We start from the raw sequence: 22038 nt of genomic DNA, 5'->3' as shown, positions 1-22038 counted from the left end.
GATCTTTAGGAAAGCCATCCCTGACAGCTTTTATTTTCCTTCCTTATACCCCAGTGCCTAACACTTAGCAGGAACTCAATAAGTAATTATTTAGCAAAATTAAGACTGTTTATACAAAGATGATTCAAAAGATTGTCCTCTACAGTCTAGCAGCAAAGGGGATCGACATGTTAAGACATGATGTGCAGTTCAGGTGGTAAAGTGACACTGGAAAAATTGACAAAGTACTAAGGGACTCCAATGAAGCAGATACCCGTGTGTGTGGAGAAAGATAGCTAGAATCAAGGAAGACTTCACACAGCATTCTGAGCCTTTTTTTTTTCTTTTTCTGTTGTTGGAGACAAGTTCTTACTCTATCACCCAGGGTGGAGTGCGATGGTGTGATCGAGACTCACTGCAACCTCAAACTCCTGGGCTCGAGGGATCTTCTCACCTAAGCTTCTTGAGTAGCTGGGACTACAGGCACATATCACCATACCTGTCCAATTTTTTGTAGAGTCAAGGTTATCTATGGTTCCCAGGCTGGTCTTAAACTCCTGGCCTTGAGCAATTCTCCCATTTTGGCCTTCCAAAGTGCTGGGATTACAGATGTGAGCTATTATGCCCAGCCTACTTTCTGAGTCTTAAAAGATGAAAATAGATTTTTCAGAATAGTAGGGGAAAACATTTGCGATGTAAAAAATGGGGTGCACACTAATTAAGGTATGAACAACAATAATTTTGCAAATTATTAGTAACTGCCAACTCAATTAGTGTCTTGTTAAAAAGATACTGTTATGAAGTATAGTAAAGTGTTACATTGTATATTTTGACTGTATTTCAAAATTTTGTTTTGTTTCTAACAGTTTTGTTGATTTATGTTGGGTGGAACAATTTGTGAGTGACCCTGAGATTTCATATGGCTTGAACCTGGTGATATCTAGTGTCTCCCCAAGTGGTTTGTTGAAGTTTTGGATGATTAGAAGTATTTCTTAAAGAACTAAATATTTCAGTAAACATTAAGCTTCATTGAAACTCTCAAAATATAAAATACAAAGAAATGTTATTCTCTATTTATTTTTATATAGATTATAGTCTTTATCTAACTGTTCTTAGTTCATTTGAACTAAACCAGTGAATTTGTCAACAGAACAAGCCTTACCAGTGGCTTCAGAGGAAGAGCAAGAAAGGCATGAAAGAAGTGAAAAGAAGCAACCACAGGTATATGAACATTTAAGTTTCTTGTTTAATATTGGGTTTTGTTTTTTTTCTTTAGTAACAAGGCATAGTCCAAATGACATGACCTTTTAGATTATACCTTTAGAATCCAATAGATCATAATTTTATATTTAATTTTTAAAACATTTTAACCAGTTATGAAACTTAAGATATTCTTACTATCTCTAGTAACTATTAGTTATTCTGGTAATTCTTACTATCTCTAGTAACTCATAGCTGTCTTTACCCTTGGAATTGAGGCAAGACATTTTCAGAATTATCTTGCTCTTTTATTTGTATAACCTTACTCATAATACAGAAGGTAACATGAAATATTGGGTTATATTATTAAGGAATAGAAATTATGAACAGTTTAACAACAGTGGCCACTGAGTTAAAGTAGTGTTAAAGGAGTCATCATTGCCAGTGGTTCAAATGTTGCAGTTTTGTATTGCTGGTCACCAGTGCCGAGTTTAAAGATTTATTCTGTTTTGTGGTCACCAGTTGAGTTCTGTGTCTGTGTTCAGGGAGTGAATGGTGTCATAAAAATCAACCCAGTTGCCTATTAAGAGAATCGTACCTTGTGGAATGGGACCTTTGGTGTCAGGGTACAAACAATAACTTTATTTTGACATAAATACATAGTAAATGTTACTAAAATTTAAAAAATCCATCCACTATCACTAGTGGAACTTAAAATACATTAGAAGTGGATACAAGCAGAAAATCCATCTAGGTACATAACACTATCATAGTATATTATTTGAATTAGAATTTAAAATTTTGCTTCCCTTTCTTATTGGTGTTCAGTTTGGCTCTTAATAATTCAGTGTTTCCCTAGTCTCTAGTTAATCTTCAGAAATATACACGCACTGTAGGGGCTCACTTTTGCTGGTATGCTGAGGTAAAATCTTTGTAAGAGGGGAAGATTTTATAATACTACCTATCAGCTTTGAATTCATTTCTGGTAGATTTTACACATAATGCATTAAGTTTAATCCAAACAAATGCTAAGAGTTCAGCTTGCCAGTTCATATTTCTGTCCTATGTTAAGCCAAGGCAAATTATTTTTCACTTTTTAGTTACAATCCTATAATTTAAGAGTGGCAACACATAGATTAAGTTTCACAGTTAAATTTTAATTATTTTCTAGTATTTTTGTTTATGCTTGATTAAAGCTAATTTTAAAACATGCACTCTGACAGAAAAGACATCTGAGAAACAAAACAAGCAAATTTGTTTTCCATTTTGCACCTGCCAAAAAAAAAAAAAAGTCTCAAGAACCAGAACTGGGTAAGAATTGTGATAAAGGGAATAATCTGTCTGTATATTCACGACTTTCTTTAAAATTCATTACAAACAAGTTCGAGCTGAATATTGGTGAAAGTTTTGAAAACTCCAGAATTACTGCTTGCCCTGAGGAAGAGCTCCTATGTAGTAACTCTAAAGAGGGACGAACAAAAAAGGAGTGCCCTCTAATCTGATGAATCAGGTCCCTGATTGTGAGGAGGAAGATGCATCTGGAGGGTCCAACTCTGTGGCAGTCCAGGCAGCGCCTGAACAGAGGAAGCCCATGTCAAATGTCTTTTTATTCCATTCATACTCCAGGTCCCTGAAATACAGTTACCAGTCATCTTCTAAGCTTCATTTAAATGAAAATAAATCAGACTATAAAAGTGATAGCAAACCAGACACATAGCTTGTTTCTAACACAGATGATGAAAATTTTTGTAATGATACAGAAACCAAAAAATTAAGGAACCCAGTAATTATGATTGAAATGAAAGATGATTAAGAGTTTGACATGCAAATGGCAAAAAATGTAAACCCAGATACCACTAATTGGAAATTGGACATTAGGCATTGGCTTCAGTCTAGAGATCCAGAAAGTCTTTTTGATTTGTTGTTTACCCACCCCAAAGAAATGAAGCATATGATTCAGATAGAAAGCCACAGTATTTCTGCTGCTACAGATACTTAATGAAAACAGAAAACCAATACAGCGTTTATTCCAGAAGCCACTATATGGCAGTCCCAGTGCTAACAACTACAGAAGCATGAATCTTGAATTATAAAATGTGAGTTATTCTTTGCCACATAGTGAGAGAACATCAAAAATATAGCTAGAAGACTTATGGGAATATATTCCAAGGTCACCAACATGGCACATGAATACATATGTAACAAACCTGCATGTTGTGCACATGTACCAGAACTTAAACTATAATAATAATAATAAAAAAAGAATGAGGTAGGCATGTTACAAGTTGAGTTCCTGGCTTTGGAGAAAAGCAAGTCCAACTTCAAAAAGATAGAGGTTCACTTGCTGCTGCTTTTTCCTCTTTATCAATTATTTGATTTAGTCAAATTTTCTATTCAAGAAAATCTCATGTGTACAGTTACAGTGGGGTTATCTAAATGTGTAATTATGTGTCAAAGTAGATTAGTTCTGCTATCTAAATAATGGTTCTGGAGAATGTTCTCATAATGTTTGTTCATTAATCAACCTATGTCTCACTATCAGTCTTCCAAGTGGCGTATGAGCTGGGAAACTAATTCAGCCACATACCATGTGACCTTCTGAACCAGATCAACATAAAGAAATTGCTAAAGAAACAAGCTCTAGATTCTAGATTCTTTTTTCTGTATTCATTTAGAGATGATTTACATTTATTTAATGATAGAATGGGAATACAATGGGAGGGAAGCAATGACTGAGACAAGCCACAAAAACACATCTAGCCTTGAGATTTGCAACGAATATTCCCAGCCAAATGAGTCTGTTTAATGTGTTTTCATGCATGCAAGTTTATCTGCTTAGCTCAAACTGTTTGAACTTACAGTCCCATCATAGTTATTTCCAATATTTTTGAAAACAAACATATACTTACACATATTTTAAAAAATCACCATTCTGCAATATTTCTGTTGAATCAGACCTTACATTATGTTGTTTAATAAAGTATGGTAAGTTTTGGCATGTATGATTTTTATCATATAAGAAGCATAATTTCTTAGCCAAAAATTTAGCCTTTGACTCTTTAGTAGAAAGTTGAGTTCTGTACATTGTGTTCTAAAGATAGACAAAAATCTAGAGATTTTCTTCTTTCAAAGTAAAAGCAGATGAGGCCTTTTTCCACCCTCTGAGGCATTAAATTGCTTTGCTCAAGGTTAGACTTTTAATATATCTGACTAATTTGATAAATTTATCTGGCAATTTATGTAATTCAGCAATATGGAATTGTATCATGTTATATGGTGCCATGAAATGCTAGTGAATGCCACCTCAAGAGCTCTGGATGAAACATTTAATATGTCTTGGTTGGTTTGACTCCCATTATCAGTAGATAATGCAGTTAAAGTAGGTAACTGTACCATATGTTTTCCACCTATAAACTTTTGTGGTAATTGAATGTGAAATCTGGGAAGCATCTCATTTTCCAGAATTCGGCACTAGAAACTCAGCAGTTTCACTCTGCTTCTTGTGTTGTGGCAAACGTTGGTTCCCATAATTCAAAGAGAACCTTTACTTTTTTTACTTTTTTGATATCACAGGATTCAAAAAAAAAAAAAAAAAAAGAGAGATAAAAGGCAGTGGGGAAAAGAGTAGCTCAGTACAGAAAAGGGAAAACTTCTTTACTGTTCCTGAAGGCCTACAATGTCACATCCTCTTAATCTGGCTATTTCATGTAAAATCCAGGTAGTAAAGACAGAAGACATATGTTATGCCTGTGTCTTTTTATTTCTCTGTTTCTGCCAGCCAGATAGCATAAAAATTTATACCAGATAGCAAAGAGTGGATGGGAATAAAAGCACAAAATGGAGAAGAGCCCTTTTTGAAATTTTAGAAAATTCTTCTATTCACTCAAACAGAAATGAGCAGATTTGACAAAAATTTCGATGATAAAATAAGAGTATCTTATAATTATAATAATTATGTATAATGATAAAATTAAAGTAAGCACAAAATACTTTTATCATTAAAGTGGTGATAACCTGAATCAAGTAAAAAAAATCAGGGAAAAAGTTCTTTTTATTGAATAAAATAATAACAATTATTATTCATCTTACTTTTATTAAAGGTCAAAAAAGGAAATAATACAAACAAAAGTGAAAAAATACAACTTTCAGAAAATATATGTGATAGTACATCTTCTGCTGCTGCTGGCAGATTAACCCAACAAAGAAAGATTGGGAAAACGTATCCTCAGCAATTTCCCAAGAAGCTGAAGGAAGAGCATGATAAGTAAGCCTATAGCAGTGTGTGTTTTTTTGTTTGGTTTTGGGGTTTTTTTGTTTGTTTTTGTTTTTTTGAGATGGAGTTTCTCTCTTGTTGCCCAAGCTGGAGTGCAATGGTGTGATCTCAGCTCACTGCAACCTCTGCCTCGTGGGTTCAAGCGATTCTCCTGACTCAGTCTCCCTAGTAGCTGGGATTACAGGCATGTGCCACCATGCCTGGCTAATTTTTTGTATTTTTAGTAAAAATAGGATTTCACCATGTTAGCCAAGCTGGTCTCGAACTCCTGACTTCAGGTGTTCTGCCCACCTCGGCCTCTCAAAGTGCTGGGTTTACAGGAGTGAGCCACCGTGCCTGGCCGCCTATAGTAGTATTTCACAGGAGATAATTGTCATTGTGCTATAAACTAATTCAAAATTGGACTAATATTCCTTATGATTAACAAGTTTTATATTTTTACCAGGGGTATTTAGCCCTGCCTGGTAATCAGAAAAATGCAAATTAACATAAAATAAGATATATTTTGTAAAGTCATGCTGATATTTAAGAAGTAATTACTAGTGTTGGCAAATGTGAGGAAAAAGGCATTCTCATACACTGTTGGTATAGGAAATTAGTAAATTATTTCTGAAGGTTAACTTAGTGCTGTGTATCAAAATTTCAAATAGCCTGACATCCCTTTAACTCAACAACTCCACTTCTGGGACTAGATTTCACAGGAAAACATAACTTGTGTAAACATACACACACTTATTAAGGGCATTAATTATATGTTACACATAATGAACAATAGGTTAATGAATGTATAAAATATATGTAATAAGAAGGTGAATTGAAAGTATTAAGAAATAATTATAAAAAGTGTGGGGAAACAGATGTTAGACTCTTTAGCCTAGTTTTGGATGACAGTCATCTGCAGATATAGTTTGTGTGAGAGACATCTGAAGGTGTCATCTCACTCTGTAAATCATTTGGAGAAACACCGCAATATTTCATAAAGATGAAAATTTATTTCTAGTGAACTTATACGCTTGTCAATAAATAGTAACTTTAAAAATTTAGTTGATTGTAAATGATCTTTTCTAATTAGGGAGTAATTATGACTGTGTGATTTAAAAAGGTAATTTTGAACCTGTAACTTTACTGAATTATCTCTGGTATCCTTTTTTATAATATATATTAGAGTGAATAGTAACAAAAACTTTAGCAGAATATTCTTTCCTTACTACTTTTCAAGTATATGCATTCTTTTGAAGATGTTGAAGTGAGAAATTAAATATCTGAGAACTGCAAAGGAAAAATAATCCAGAACATAGAAATTTTATTAGGATAATAAACATCTGCAGAGGTATATCACAGGATGAACTCTTTATTTTTTAACAAAATGAATTTTAAGATAAATGTCTTTATCTGCAGATGCACCTTAAAACAAGAAAATGAAGAAAAAACAAATGTTAATATGCTGTACAAAAAAAATAGAGAAGAATTAGAAAGGAAAGAGAAACAATATAAGAAAGAAGTTGAAGCAAAACAACTTGAACCAACTGTTCAGTCACTAGAGATGAAATCAAAGACTGCAAGAAATACTCCAAATCGGGTAAATCAATCTTTGGTAAAAATTCTATATTTTAAACTTTATCTTATCACTGTTACTTATAATGTCCACTTGATTTAATATATATTGTTTAGGTCTAAAACCAGAAATTTTATCTCATTTTTAAAAATGAATGATGACACTTACAGGTACAATTATTAATATTTATTATAAATCTTGGCATCCACATAGGATATTATTTTATTACAAAGAGCTTTTGAAAACAATAATATGCCATAATATATACTTAGTGATAACCTATTGATAAAAATTTTGTTCCAGGTAAAATTTTTCCTTGTACTTTCCCCTATTTCATATTGATTACTGCACCTAATATTATAAAGAGGAAACAGAAATTATTGCAATCACAAATAATCTCATGATATTCTAAGAAGAGCTCTATAAATTTTATCTTATTTACTGTTGGTGTTTTGAAATAAAAGTTTTCTTTCGTATTGATGTATTTACACCACAGAAGTAACTGTGATCTGTTGGAGAACTAGAAGTAGAGTCAGAAGTCCTGGGGAAAATCCTGTAGCTTGCTTATATTTTTAACATTTCTTTTTCAAAATTGTGGTAACTAGATGAGTTCATCAATGAATGTATATAGGAGTGACTAGTATAATGTCTAGTTTATGACTTAGTGAATGTAATTCTTATAACTGACTATAAAAGTGTTAAAAGAGTCAAACTGAAATAGAATGTTATCGGTGAAACAGAACTGTAATAACTCTGGGAAATTTTATCTGTCCAAATACGTGTGAACAAAAGTTCTTACTATAGGGTGGTGTATGGGTTAGATATCAAAGTGTAAATGCAATTTTTTGATATATCTTAATTTAGTCAAATTTGTTAATGCTTTAATTTATGCTTTTGAGTTTGTTGTAATTCAGGGAAAGGCTTTTCCAATTCCGATATTCTTAAAAATTCTCTGGTGTGCGTGTGTGTGTTTACTTTTATAAATTCATTGACTCTAAATACATTTCTGAACTTTCTGGAATTTATGCTCTATAAGGTTCAAAGTTTTGCTTCAACTTTTTCTCCAGGTGGATATCCACTTATGGTAAACTTTTTAGTGTACGGATGTGCAGGTTATTCTTTAACTTCAGAGGTAATCATGATATGTTATTTTATTGAGTACTAGCTAAAACTTTCTTTTGTTTTATTTAGGATTTTCATAATCATGAAGAAACGAAAGGTCTGATGGATGAAAATTGCATTTTGAAGGCAGATATTGCCATACTCAGACAGGAAATATGTACAATGAAAAATGACAACTTGGAAAAAGAAAATAAATATCTTAAGGACATTAAAATTGTTAAAGAAACAAATGCTGCCCTTGAAAAGTATATAAAACTCAATGAGGAAATGATAACAGAAACAGCATTCCGGTATCAACAAGAGCTTAATGATCTCAAGGCTGAGAATACAAGGCTCAATGCCGAACTGTTGAAGGAAAAAGAAAGCAAGAAAAGACTGGAAGCTGACATTGAATCTTATCAGTCTAGACTGGCTGCTGCTATAGGTAAACACAGTGAAAGTGTGAAAACAGAAAGAAACGTAAAACTTGCTTTAGAGAGAACACAAGATGTTTCTGTACAAGTAGAAATGAGTTCTGCTATTTCCAAAGTAAAAGATGAGAATGAGTTTCTTACTGAACAACTTTCTGAAACACAAATTAAATTCAATGCCTTAAAAGATAAGTTCCGTAAGACAAGAGATAGTCTCAGAAAAAAGTCATTGGCTTTAGAAACTGTACAAAATGACCTAAGAAAAACACAGCAGCAAACACAGGAAATGAAAGAGATGTATCAAAATGCAGAAGCTAAAGTGAATAATTCCACTGGAAAGTGGAACTGTGTAGAAGAGAGGATATGTCACCTCCAACGTGAAAATGCGTGGCTTGTACAGCAACTAGATGACGTTCATCAGAAAGAGGATCATAAAGAGATAGTAACTAATATCCAAAGAGGCTTTATTGAGAGTGGAAAGAAAGACCTCGTACTAGAAGAGAAAAGTAAGAAGCTAATGAATGAATGTGATCATTTAAAAGAAAGTCTCTTTCAGTATGAGAGAGAGAAAGCAGAAGGAGTAGTAAGTATCAAGGAAGATAAATATTTTCAAACTTCTAGAAAGAAAATTTAAACATTTGGTTCTGGATACATGTTGAACTTAGTTGAATATAAAAATCTAGATAAAAAGTGTGTTTACCATACTGTATAATTCCATTTACATGAAGCATCCAGAAAAGATAAATGTATAGGGACAAAAAGTAGATTAATGTTTGCAAGGGGCTGGGGCTGGAAGCTGGTAGTGACTGCTAATGGGCATGAGGAATCTTACAGTGATGGAAATGCTCTAAAGTTGGATTGTAGAGATGGCTGCACAACTCAGTAAATGTACTAAAAATCTTTTAACTTTAAGTCAAAACAGATACATTCTATAGTATGTAAATTATATTTCAACAAAGCTGTTTTAATAAAAAAGGAAAAATGTTTACTATATCGGCTTAGAAACATGCCTCATTTCTAGGAAATAAAAGAGGTGAGAGATGATTTACTTTGAGAAAAGACATTGTGTCACCTATGAAATTTTATTAGGCACAGAGTCATATTTTAAGGTAGATAGTTCTGTACTGCTGAAATAGTAATTTTAATGTCTTTATATTGCCACATGTTAAGACCATAATGTAGTTATAAATGGAAATGTTTACACCTGAAGTATTTTCAAATTAAAATTTAATTAAGTGATTTTCTTCGACACTTAATTCTAGATTCCCCAGATGAATTGAAGTGTATTGCTGTGTCTTGTAGTACCTTGCTTTAACTAGCTTTTTATGTATTTTAGTTGGTATAGCTTTGTTATTATTCATATTAATTTAACAAATCTGAAAATATGTCAAATTACGTATTTTTATGACCACGTAATGTTTTAAAGGCACCTACTTGTTATAAAATCATAATTTAGGAGAAATGTGGTAAAACTTAGCAAAACTATATTTGGTTTAGTCTTCCCACTGGTATTTATAGTTTACTTTGAATATTTATATTAATAATTAGGTCATAATTTTTATTTCAAGGCTCAATGACTGTCATTGGAATATAATTTTGTTCAGTACAAAGATACTTGTAGCTGTCTGTGATTTACGAGTTAGGCATTACATCTCCATTTTCAGACTGAGGGGTGGCAGGCTTCACATACAGTGGGAATGGAGTAATTACAGGAGGGAGTTGTAGGAGCTTTGAAGTCAGAGAGGGAGGTAGAGGCCTTTTTACCTAGGGCCTCAAAGGCCATTGGAATTTTACTTTTATTCTGAGATAGGAATCTGTTGGAAGGATTTGAACAGGTGATTGAATATGTTAGGAACTTTGAGGCTGAGTTGAGCTTCTGAGATGATTGAATGTTGGAATGAATCTGTTGTGTAAGTAAGAGAATACCAATTTGGCAGGAAGAGAACATATTCTGCATCCCTCACTGAATTCAGTAATACATAAAAATGTGTACATGTGATTAAAAGAAGGTGAATTGATATGTGTGGTGATAATTTTCAAAGTAGATATGTTAGAATTAAACATTATTAACATAATTTAATAATAAGGCAATTTATAAAATCAGTAACAAAAATATTTTATCAGGTGGTTGTGAGACAACTTCAACAAGAAGTGGCTGACAGCGTAAAAAAATTAACAACGTTAGAGTCTCCACTGGAAGGTATATCACATTGTCACATTAATTTGGATGAGACACAGGCCTCAAAGAAGAAATTATTTCAAGTGGAAAGTCAAGTATGTATGGAATTTAACATGTCAACAGTTATTCTGTAGCTAGTTGAATTATATAACATGTTTTAGGATACTAATTTTGGCAGAAGCTTGATTTTTTATTTTCATTATAATGAATGATTTCCATTTTACTATCTTTATAATTATTTTTTTATGTTGTGACTTTCATTCTACCATTTTGAAAAACCATTGCATACCTTTTCTCTTACAATATGTACCCTTGGAAAAGTTGAGAATTATACATCATTCCTCATAGAAAATTGACTTTTTTCCTGTTAAACAGTATTTTTAAGTAATTTTTGTATTTCTCTGATGAGGCAGGCCAGATTAAATCAGAGGAGAATGTTTCATGGAATGTTCCAGAAAATTGTCTTATTTCTTCACTTTTGTGAATGGACACAGAATCTGTGTCTATTTGTTTCACAGATTCTAGGTTAACTTGTACAGAAAGGCCGTTATACTATTCTTTGAAATGTGCATGTTTTAGGTTAATTTACAAACTATTTGAAAAGTTAGGCATTTTCTTTATCTATCTTTTATTTAAAATATACTGTAAAACTGTAGAAATATTTAGATTTGATATAGCATGTACATCAAAAATTAAGAGTTGAGAAAATTATCTTGATCCTGCCTTTGGATTTTAAAAAATTCACTGAGATGTCATTCACGTATCAGACAGTTCAACCATTTAAAATGTACAACTCAGTATCTATTAGTATGTTCACAGCATTTTCATCACCCTGAAAAGTGACCCCACATCTCCTAGGCATGACTGCAGCCTTCCTCCATGTCCCTCCACCTACCCCTGTTGTAGGCAACCACTGTCTACTTTTGTCTCCATATGTTTGCCTGTTCTGCATGTTTCATATACATAGAGTTATACAATATGTATACATATACAATATGTATATGTATACTTTGGGACTGGCTTTTTCACTTAGCATAATGTTTTTAGAATTCATGCATGTTTTAGCACACATTCATAGTTTATTTCTTCTTATAGTTAAATGATATTCTATTCCATGGCTATACTGGTTTTCCATTCATTCATCAGTTGATGGACCTTTAGGTTAGTTTCCACTTTTTAGCTATTATGAAAAATGCTGCTGTGAACATTCACTTACAGGTTATTATGTGGACACAGGTTTTTATTTCCCTGCCATTGGACTTTATCCTCAGAGTTAACTGGGCAGATTTCAGCACTTGTCTTGCTCATGCTATCCTTTCTGCCTTCTCAGTTTCTGTTCATCTAGCCTCATTCATTCAGACCTGGCAGACAATTTTTTTGTTTTCATGAAGCTTTCTCTGACTGTTCTCTCATTGACCTTATGTGTTAGCAATCGTTGTCTAGTCTGTGCTGAAAAACTTAGTCCTTAATTTTACATGGCTTTTTTTTTTATGGAAGATAATTTTCTCTCATTATAAATTTGCTTAATGGGGGAATAATATATAATATGTATGCCACCTATCCTTGCATACATTGAAAATATTTTAGCTTAGAGGTTTGTAGCATACAATTCAATCCTTTATACCATACCAATTATTTCTTCTTTGAGACCTTGACACAGTAAGGTTATATTCTAAATGTATTTTTAGCAATTAAATATCAAATCTAACCCAATTAGTCTAACACAGGAGATGCGTTCAATCACGTGTTTATGTTTTTCTCTCTATGAAAAAGAATCTCAATTGGCCTTTTTTCACTATGTAGCCATTACTGTGTTTCTGGATTGCTCCCAGTCTGTCAGCTGAACAGTTCTGGGTGCAGCTTGTCTGATGAAGGATAGCACAGCCCCTCAATCTCAGTACTCAGCAGAGTGCTTGTGAAGGCAGCACCACAGCAACAGTTGCTCAGAGTGAACGGATTCAGGAGCCTTGACTTAGCAATAGAGTCCAGGGTTTTCAGCTCAGTGTCTTTAGCCTGTCTCTGCTGGTCATGTCAGTTACATACTATTCCATCCAGGAGGTGCTATTTACATTGTAGTACATACATAGTCATTGCCTAATGAGTCATACAGAGAGAAAAGTAAGTTATAAATTATGTCCCCCATTTGCTGCAACTCTCAGTGGTAAGAATGATTAAGTGCAGCTATAGGAGAATACTTCCATTGGCATGCCACCTGCGTAAAACACACAATTTTGTTAAGATATACAATAAAATTATTATGCTAATAGCAAATATTTTATGTAGCTCACTATGTTCCATGTAGTCTTCTAAGTGCTTCATGTTAGTCCCCAGTTAAACACCTGGTTTTGGAAGGCTGAGGCAGGAGGATTGCTTGAGCCCAGGAGTTTGAGAGCAGCCAGAGCAATATAGTGAGACCCTGTCTCTAAAAAAAAAAAAAAAAAAAAAATTTTTTTAAACACTTAGCTGAGGCATGGTGGTGCATGCCTGTAGTCCCAGCTACATTGGGAGGCTGTGGTAGGAGGGTCGTTTGAGCTTGGAATATTGAGGCTGCAGTGAGCAGTGATCAAGCCACTGCACTCCAGCCTAGGTAGCAGAGGGAGACTCTGTCTCATAAATAAAACATGTTGTATAGATTCCCATAGAAGTGAGTTAGATATCAGACATAGAATTATTAGCCACTTTGATGTCTACCTTGGGAGTAAAACATATAATAAGGGGCAGCTTTAAACCATCTCAATCAATGCCTCTAACTTCTCGAGAAGGTTCTTATTTCATGAATTTCTAAGCAAAGGACTACCTGGATTAAGACATTTGGTAGACACCATTTTGAGATGAAGAATCTTGAATGGGAAGAAGGGAGATCTCTACTTACTGAAGCCTCCCAATGACATAGTTAAGTGTCCCCCAAAAGGAACTTTAGAACAAGATGTTCATCATGCCATATGTCTATGGGAAAGGAAATTCTTTAAAAGAAAATAAAGGCAAACAATTGATAATCTGATTCTCATGGGAAGGTTTTCATTATCAAAGAAAAAGAGGGCTGGGTTCCATGGCTCACATCTGTAATCCCAACACTTTGGGAGGCTGAGGGGGGTGGATTACCTGAGGTCAGGAGTTCAAAAGCAGTCTGGCCAACATGGTGAAACCCTGTCTCTACTGAAAATACAAAAATTAGCCAGGCGTGGTGGTGTGCACCTGTAGTCCCAGCTACTTGAGAGGCAGAGGCAGGAGCATCACTTGAACCCAGGAGGTAGAAGTTGCAGTAAGCTGAGATGGCACCACTGCACTCCAGCCTGGATGACACAGTGTGACTCCACCTCAAAAAAAGAAAAGAAAGGGACAAAGTATACTGGTCCAAAAAAGAAGAAAGAATGAAAAAAAGGACAAAGTATACTGGTTAGTATCGTAACAGTGAGATAGTCCCCCTTTGAGATTAGAAAATAACAGTATACTCAAAGTAACATCAATAAGAACCAACATAAAATAGACAAGATTCACTATCTACAAAAGTAATCTGCACCAAGTAGCAATGTATGAGCATGTGGTGGAGAATATTGTCTATAATATGTGTTCTAGAAGGAAGAGACCTCAAGAAAAAGGTCAGAGCTAGAAATGTAGATTAGGGAATCTAGGTAAAAGTTTAGGAGATTTTAGGAGTCCTGAGAGAATTTAAAAAGTGAAATAGCTGCCGGGTGTGGTGGCCACACCCGTAATCCCAGCACTTTGGGAGGCCAAGGCAGGCAGATCATGAGGTCAGGAGTTCAAGACCAATCTGACCAACATAGTGAAACCCCGTCTCTACTAAAAATACAGAAAATTAGCTGGGCGTGGTAGCATATGCCTGTAATCCTAGCTACTTGGGAGGCTGAGGCAGGAGAATCGCTTGAATCCAGGAGGTGGAGGTTGCGGTGAGCCGAGATCATGCCACTGCACACCAACCTGGGTGACAGTGGGAGACTCCATCTCAAAACAGAAAACAAAAACAAAACAAAAAACCAGAAAAGGATAGGGCTGAAGAACAGAGGTTGCTAAATTTAGAAATGAAGTGGGGTCAGAGGAATAGAGATAGGGCTGAAGAACAGAGGTCGCTGCATTTAGAAAGGAGGCGGGGTCAGAGGAGCAGAGGGAGCATTTGGTCACTGCTCTGCTGAGTAAAGTAGGATAAAGTCCTTCATGACCCTTGGACTTTTTTATTGGAATTATTAAAAATCAGATTTCAGTATAAAAAACACAATAATTGATGAAAAAATATTTCTGAATGAGACCATGTGTCATAGAGTCCAATGGAAGGGGAGAAACAGGATAATAGAAAAGCCACAAAAAGTAGACAAAAGTTGTTTTTGTTTATTATAGAAAAAATAAACTTTATTTAAAGAGAAATGGTTAAGAGAAAGGGAAAAACTGAAACCTATGGGTGAATACTTAGAATGACAGTGTTTAGCTCAGCCTGAAGACAGATGAGGATGAAAAATGTAATGGGAACTAGATAAGAGTTTTCTAAAATTTGTCTTAGTAAGATATAATTTAAGAAAACTTGGAATATCTTAAACTATTAAAAACAATATTTCTAGAGCATCTTTAAAAACTAAAATGTAAATATAACTACTCTTTTTTTTTTTTAACTAACACTTAGTATTTTTTGTGTAAAAACCCTCATTTGTAACGAACATTGTTGGCAGTTTAAATTTCAGAAAAGATAATGATGAAAATTTGAATCATTTTTAGCAGTTTTAAGAAAAGTGACTATTATTGAAATCTGACCTTATTGGCATCAGGTTTATAAAATGCACTTTATACACCTGCCTAAATACATATTACTCATCCACTTATGAGAAATAATATGTTTGAGATAAAAGAGGGTCTACAGATTTTACAAAAATAATTTTAAACACTTTTTTTAAGCCTAAAAAAGAAAATGAAGAATTAAGAAAACTTTTTGAGTTAATATCATCACTGAAGTATAATGTGAATCGAATAAGAAAGAAAAATGATGAATTAGAAGAAGAGGCAACTGGGTATGGTTTTCATATTGTAGAACATGTTAACCATTTATTAATTGATTTAACGCTAATTTTACTTGACTAAAACAGATACAAATTCATTTTATGTTTGCATTTTCATAATTAAATGAATTCTATTTTAAAATGTATTTCAGAAACTCACAGCACAACTTTTTAGACATGTGTGTCATGGGGCGGGAGTCAGCTGAGCTGCTGGGGCAAGGTGAAATTTTTTTTGAATGCCAAAATATTCTTTTTTTTTTTTTTTTTTTTTTTTTGAGAAAAAGTCTGGCTTTGTTTCCCAGGCTGGAGTACAATGGCGTGGTCTTGGCTCACTGCAACCTATGCCTCCAAGCAATTTTCCTGCCTCAGCCTCCTGAGTAGCTGGCATTACAGGCATGTGCCACCACACCCGGCTAATTTTTGTATTTTTAGTAGAGACGGGGTTTTGCCAAGTTGGTCAGGCTGGTCTTGAATTCCTGACCTCGTGATCTGCCCGCCTCGGCCTCCCAAAGTGACATGAGCCACCATGCCCGGCCACTTATTCTTTAATGATTTTGAAAACAATGACCATGCCTTGGACATATAGTGTCCGGTGCACTCTTCATTATCTAGTTTGAATTTTTATTTCTGAAGATATTTTTTGCTGTCTGTGGTCATTTTTTCTTCCTTTTGTAGTATCGTCTGCTGCACTCAAATTGTTTAAAGAAGACCTGTTTGTGTCATACGTTAACATCAAATTTATCTTGATATGTAGCTTATATTTTGTTTCTGCTTCTTTTTCTTTTAGATATAAAACATATGGAAATTTACTCATTGTACATGAGTACGTCTGTTGTATACATGAAGTATACATGTTATTAAACTTGTTTTACATAAATAAATTTCATATATATAAAAATATATGTATAACTTAAAGAAAAAGTAAAATGAACATTCATGTTTTGATCACAGATTTTTTTTAAAACAATGGAATCTGTCTTTGAAGCCCTGAACACAGCTACTTTCCTATTTTATTTACTGAGCACTTAATTTGGTTTTCTGATTCGAATCAACATTTTTCTGTCATTGCCTTTCTCTACATGGTTTTGTATCTCTTTCATTTTGTTGACATTATGTCAGCAAAGATGTCTAGATCTCTTCTTCAAAGTCTTTAAATCGTCACACATCTCTCTGCCCCTTTCCTTTTTTCTAAAACTGCCTGTATCCTTTTTCTCCTCAACTCAGATATTAAAGATGTTTTCTTCTCTTTTTCTACATTGAATGATCTCCTTGATGCTTTTTGTGTGTACTTTTTTTTCTTCTGATAGACTGTGGTCAATGGGTATCAAAATGTACTTTTGTGTCTTTTTAAACGTATGTGTTTTACTTTTTTATCTTGGTTACTCATCTCTGGGTTATGGCTTATATTTAGTAATAGGTTATTTTACTTGGCATACCAACATGGATATGAGTAGTTTATTTACAAAAAGTGTATGGTTAGGCCAGGTGTGGTGGCTCACACCTGTAATCCCAGCACTTTGGTTGGCCAGTGTGGGTGGATCATTTGAGGTCAAGAGTTCAAGACCAGTCTGACCAGTGAAACCCCGTCTCTACTAAAAATACAAAATGAGCCAGGCGTGGTGGTACACACCTGTAATCCCAGCCACTTGGGAGGCTGAGACAGGTGAATCACTTGAGTCCAGGAGGCAGAGGTTGCAGTGAGCTGAGATCACACCATTGCACTTTGGCCTGGGCAACAAGAGTGAAATTCCATCTCAAAACAAAACAAAAAACAAAACAAAAACACTGTATGGCTATAATATCACTTTACCTGCCATATATGCCATAAAATTGTTCTTCATATTATTTAAGATTATAATTTCATATAGAATGCTTTCAAACTATGTTCAGTTGAAACTGAAAGGAACATAGTTTATAGATTTGTTTCTTTGATATGCCATAACAGATGTTTAAACAATTATTAAATATTTACTCAAAAATAGTTGACTTACTAATTCTGTACATTTCTGCAGATATAAGAAACTCCTGGAAATGACAATAAATATGTTAAATGTATTTGGAAATGCAGACTTTGATTGCCATGGAGACTTAAAAACAGATCAACTGAAAATGGATATTCTGATTAAGAAGCTAAAACAGAAGGTAATTTAAAAAAATTATTTTATCTTAAGGTCTAGATTACATGTGTGAGACATGCAGGTTTGTTATATAGGTAAACGTGTGTCACGTTGGTTTACTGCACCTATCAATCCATCACCTAGATATTAAGCCCTGCAGGCATTAGCTATTGATCTTGATGCTCTCCCTCCTGACCCTAACAGGCCCCAGTGTTTGTTGTTCCCCTCCCCGAGTCCATGTGTTCTCATCATTCAGCTCCCACTTATAAGTGAGAAGATGCAGTGTTTGGTTTTTTCTTCCTGCATTAGTTTGCTGAAGATATCAGCTTTGAGCTCATCCATATCCCTGCAAAAAGCATGATCTCATTCATTTTTATGGCTCCATAGTATTCCATGGTGTATGTGTACCACATTTTCTTTATCCCGTCTATCACTGATGGACATCTGGGTTGATTCCATGGCTTTACTGTTGTGAATAGTGCTGCAATGAACATACAAATGCATGTATCTTTATAATAGAATAATTTATATTCCAACGTATGGTAATTTTAAATCAGTTTTGGTATTAAAAATCATGTAATTTTGGAAAATATTGATAATGGAAAACCCAAATTCTGCCAAAATATGTTGAGAAAATAGAGGGCAAATATATATTTTCAGACTTTCAATGCCTCAGGCTCTTAGTTAATCTTCCCCAGATCTGGGAAGACCTAGAAGGGGAGAGATTGGGCTACGTTAATGAGGGCCATTTCAATCTCTTGGCCCTGCAGCAGCCATTTCAAAATATGACAAAAAAATATATTTGGGGGTAAAATATTTTGATTTCCTTCAGCTTCTTCTCTCTGTGATGCTGCACCAGAATCAGGTTAGAAAGGAAGCCACATTATAGGAGTTAATAAAACCCATCTGATGAGATTTGATAGTTTGAAGGGTGTGATTCCCAGACCGTTTAGATAGAAATTGGGGCCAAAGAAAACAAGGTCTTATTCCTCAATATAAATCTGTCAGTGCTTTAAGCAGTGAAAGATTTTTCATTTAATTTTACAGACTTGAAACTAATGAAAAGGATAGCTTTTAAAATATAAATCTCTTTTTCTATGAAAAGGACATGCTGTTGATTCTCTTAGGCCTTGAACCCTGGCCAGTGATCTGAAACCAAGCAGTACCTGTCTCCAGATCACTAGTACCAAAATCACTAGTACCAAATTGATTTGGGGTGGGGGGTAACAGGTTCATTGAGAAATAATGAACACACCATGCAATTCACTCATTTAAAATATACAATATACTAACTTTAGTATTTTCAGAGAGTTATGCAGTCATCATTACAATCAATTGTAGAACATTTTCATCACCCTAAAAACAAACCCCACATCATTTAGCTATCTTCACTAGTTTTCCCTTCCTCCCTCAGCCCTAGGTAACCACCCACCTTCTTTGTATAGATTTGCCTATAAGCCTCTGAAATGAAAAGCAAGTGGTCTACTGTGACTGGCTTATTTCACTTAGCATAATTTTCCATGCTGCATCTGTGCTGTAGCAGGTATTGATGCAGGGTTTTTGCTCCTTAGTTCAGCTCAATCTGGGTTCTTCTCTTATGACCAGGAAAAATTAATCACACAGACACATTGAAGGGTGAGGAGGACAGAATTTATTAAGTGAAAGGAAAGCTCTCAGCAAAGAGGGGGGTCCTGCAAACAGGTTTCCACCTCACAATTGAATAGCAGGAGCACAGGAGCTGAAGCGGCCAGGTTCCTCCTCTGCATAAGGCGTGAATTCCTGGTGACTCCACCCCATCCCCCCAGTGCTTGTGGGCCTCGGGTCTGCTGCTGGCATGTCCAGGCAAGACAAGTCCAGGTTCCCTTATCTGCACATAACATCTGGTGTAAACACTTGTGGGGCTGGTTGGGGATTCTCTGGGGACCCTTCCATATCTGCCTAGGCATTTTGCTGTCTCCTCCTAATACAGTATCAGTACTCAGTTTCTTCTTATTGCTGAGTGATATTCCATTGTATGGATACATCAAACATTTTATGTATCCATTCACCAGGTGATGGACCTTTGGGTTCTTTCCCACCCAAAGGTGATGGACATTTTGGTTCTTTCCACTTTTTGACTCTTATTAATAATGCTGCTGTAAACATTTATATATGAGTTTTTGTGCTTGCATATGTTTTTGATTTTCTGGAGTATACTCATGACTGGAATTTCTGGGTCGTATGGTAACTTCATGCTTAACCTTTTGAGGAGCTGCCAGTTTGTTTTCCAAAGTGGCTGCATCACTTTACATTCCCAGCAGCATTGGATAAGGGTTTTAATTTCTTTACATTTTTCCTAACACTTATTTTCTCTTTTTTATTGAAAAAATGTTTCATCCTGTGGTGTGAAGTGATAACACATGTGGTTTTGATTTACTTTTTCCTAATGACTAATTACATTAAGCATCTGTTAATGTGCTTATTACCCATCTTTAAATCTTCTTTGCAAATATATCTATTCAAAATCTTTGCCCATTTTTTAAATTGGGTTATCTTGTTATTTATGAATTGCAAAGGTTCTTTATGTATCCTACATATGTAAGTCCCTTATCAGATACATGCTTTTCAAATACTTTCTTCTAGTCAGTGTCTTACCTTTTCACTTCTTGATACTGTCTTCTCAGGCACAGCAGTTTTCAATTTTGAAGTCCATTGAATCCATTTTTCCTTTGGAGTTATAGCTAAGAAAATACTGCCAAATGCAGTCACAAAGATTTATGCCAGGGTTTTCTTCTGAGGGTTTTATAGGTTTAGCTGTTACAGTTCACTGTTTTATTTTGAGGTAATTTTTAAATAAGATATTTGGTCCAACTTTATTTATTTTTTGCATGTGGATATCCAGTTGTCCCAGCACCATTTGTTGAAAAGACTATTCTTTTCCCATTCTGTTCTTTTGTTAACCTTGTATAAAATCAATTGACTGTAAATGTGCAGGTTTATTTGTAGATTATCAATTCTTAGTTTGTTTATATCTATTCTTATGCCAAGGCCAAATTGAATTTAATGAGAAGTTTTTTTCAATCATGTTGCATATTACCAGTTGTCTTATATCATAATAAAAATTAAATTTAGTGGAATATCTTTAACTTCACCTTTTGTGTCACAAAGGAGTCTCTGGCCAGCTTATACCTTACTCTTAAGACATGATGGCAAGTCAAGCTTACAAGACACACTTTCTTTTTTTCTCTATTCAAACCTTCAGTCTCTATTCCATCGTCTCCCTCTATAGTTATATTTTCAGTAAGTTTTGGTCACAGGATCTGCTGATGTAGTCTAATATTTAGTGTATTATGTTTTGCTAACTCATTATAATTCATAGAATCTTCCATAGATGTTTACCATCCAGGAAGGAGAAGTCTGAGCTGCCAGCTTTCCTCAGTGGAAATCAAGTGAAGTCATCATCTTGTAGTTTGCAGATCCTCTTTCCACCTGGTAGCTGGTTCTCTTGGGTAGCACTGCATCTAATCCTTTACTTGATGCAGATCTTGCATTCTCAGAAACCACAGTTCCCTGTATTGACCTCCTTTTACTGAAACAGAGATGCACAGCTCTGCTTTCTAGCTCAGTAGAGGATTCTTGGAATATAAAGTTTAACTCATTCCAAGAAAAAGTCTTAAGAGTGCAGCACTTCAAAATCAGGTAATGTTCAGGCAATTTATCAGAGACAAATAGTAGATTAGTATTTTGACTTTTGAAATTTCAGAGCCAAGTTGTGTGCTGTAGAGAAGCATTGTGGCATAACAGAGATGGGACGGTCTTAACTTCTCCATACAAACAAGCTTGAAGTAAGATAAAGGAGAAATTGCATTTGATGTCTTAACACTCAAAGCATACTGTGTTTATTTTACTTCTGTGAAGACTAAAAATCATTCCATAATGTTCTCCTTATTTCCTCATTGAGAAAAGGAAAATGAAAATTGAATACTAGATTGATTAATAAATACTCAAAGTTTATTCTTTTAGAATTTCCATTAACTGAAATCAGGTACATGTCTGATTTTGGTTATCTAACCAAGTATTTCTAGTTGTTTTTCAAATCATACATCTTTTTGCTTTGCAGTCTTATTTCCTAACTTAAGGGGAAATTGTAAGGAGACACCCTTGCCTTGTTATTAGAGTTCATAATTGAAGGGGGTTTTAGGAAATGTTCCTCCTCAGCAG

The 22038-nt window shown here is 34.6% G+C and overlaps 1 pseudogene across 1 annotated transcript in view; it reads left to right on the top strand.

Annotated features, from left to right (window-relative positions):
• ANKRD20A8P (ankyrin repeat domain 20 family member A8, pseudogene) overlaps positions 1–22038 on the top strand; it is a 96148-nt pseudogene that overhangs the window by 32872 nt on the left and 41238 nt on the right. The window contains exons 10-16 of the transcript NR_003366.2: positions 1130–1200; positions 5280–5443; positions 6851–7031; positions 8199–9122; positions 10664–10813; positions 15621–15733; positions 17734–17863. The product of NR_003366.2 is annotated as an ankyrin repeat domain 20 family member A8, pseudogene (transcript). The remainder of the gene's footprint in view (positions 1–1129; positions 1201–5279; positions 5444–6850; positions 7032–8198; positions 9123–10663; positions 10814–15620; positions 15734–17733; positions 17864–22038) is intronic.

Source organism: Homo sapiens, chromosome 2 (assembly GCF_000001405.40).
Source record: "Homo sapiens chromosome 2, GRCh38.p14 Primary Assembly".
Classification (NCBI taxonomy): Eukaryota; Metazoa; Chordata; class Mammalia; order Primates; family Hominidae; genus Homo; species Homo sapiens.
The sequence above is the reverse complement of the archived record's forward strand: the minus strand, read 5'-3'. Positions and strand labels throughout refer to the sequence as shown.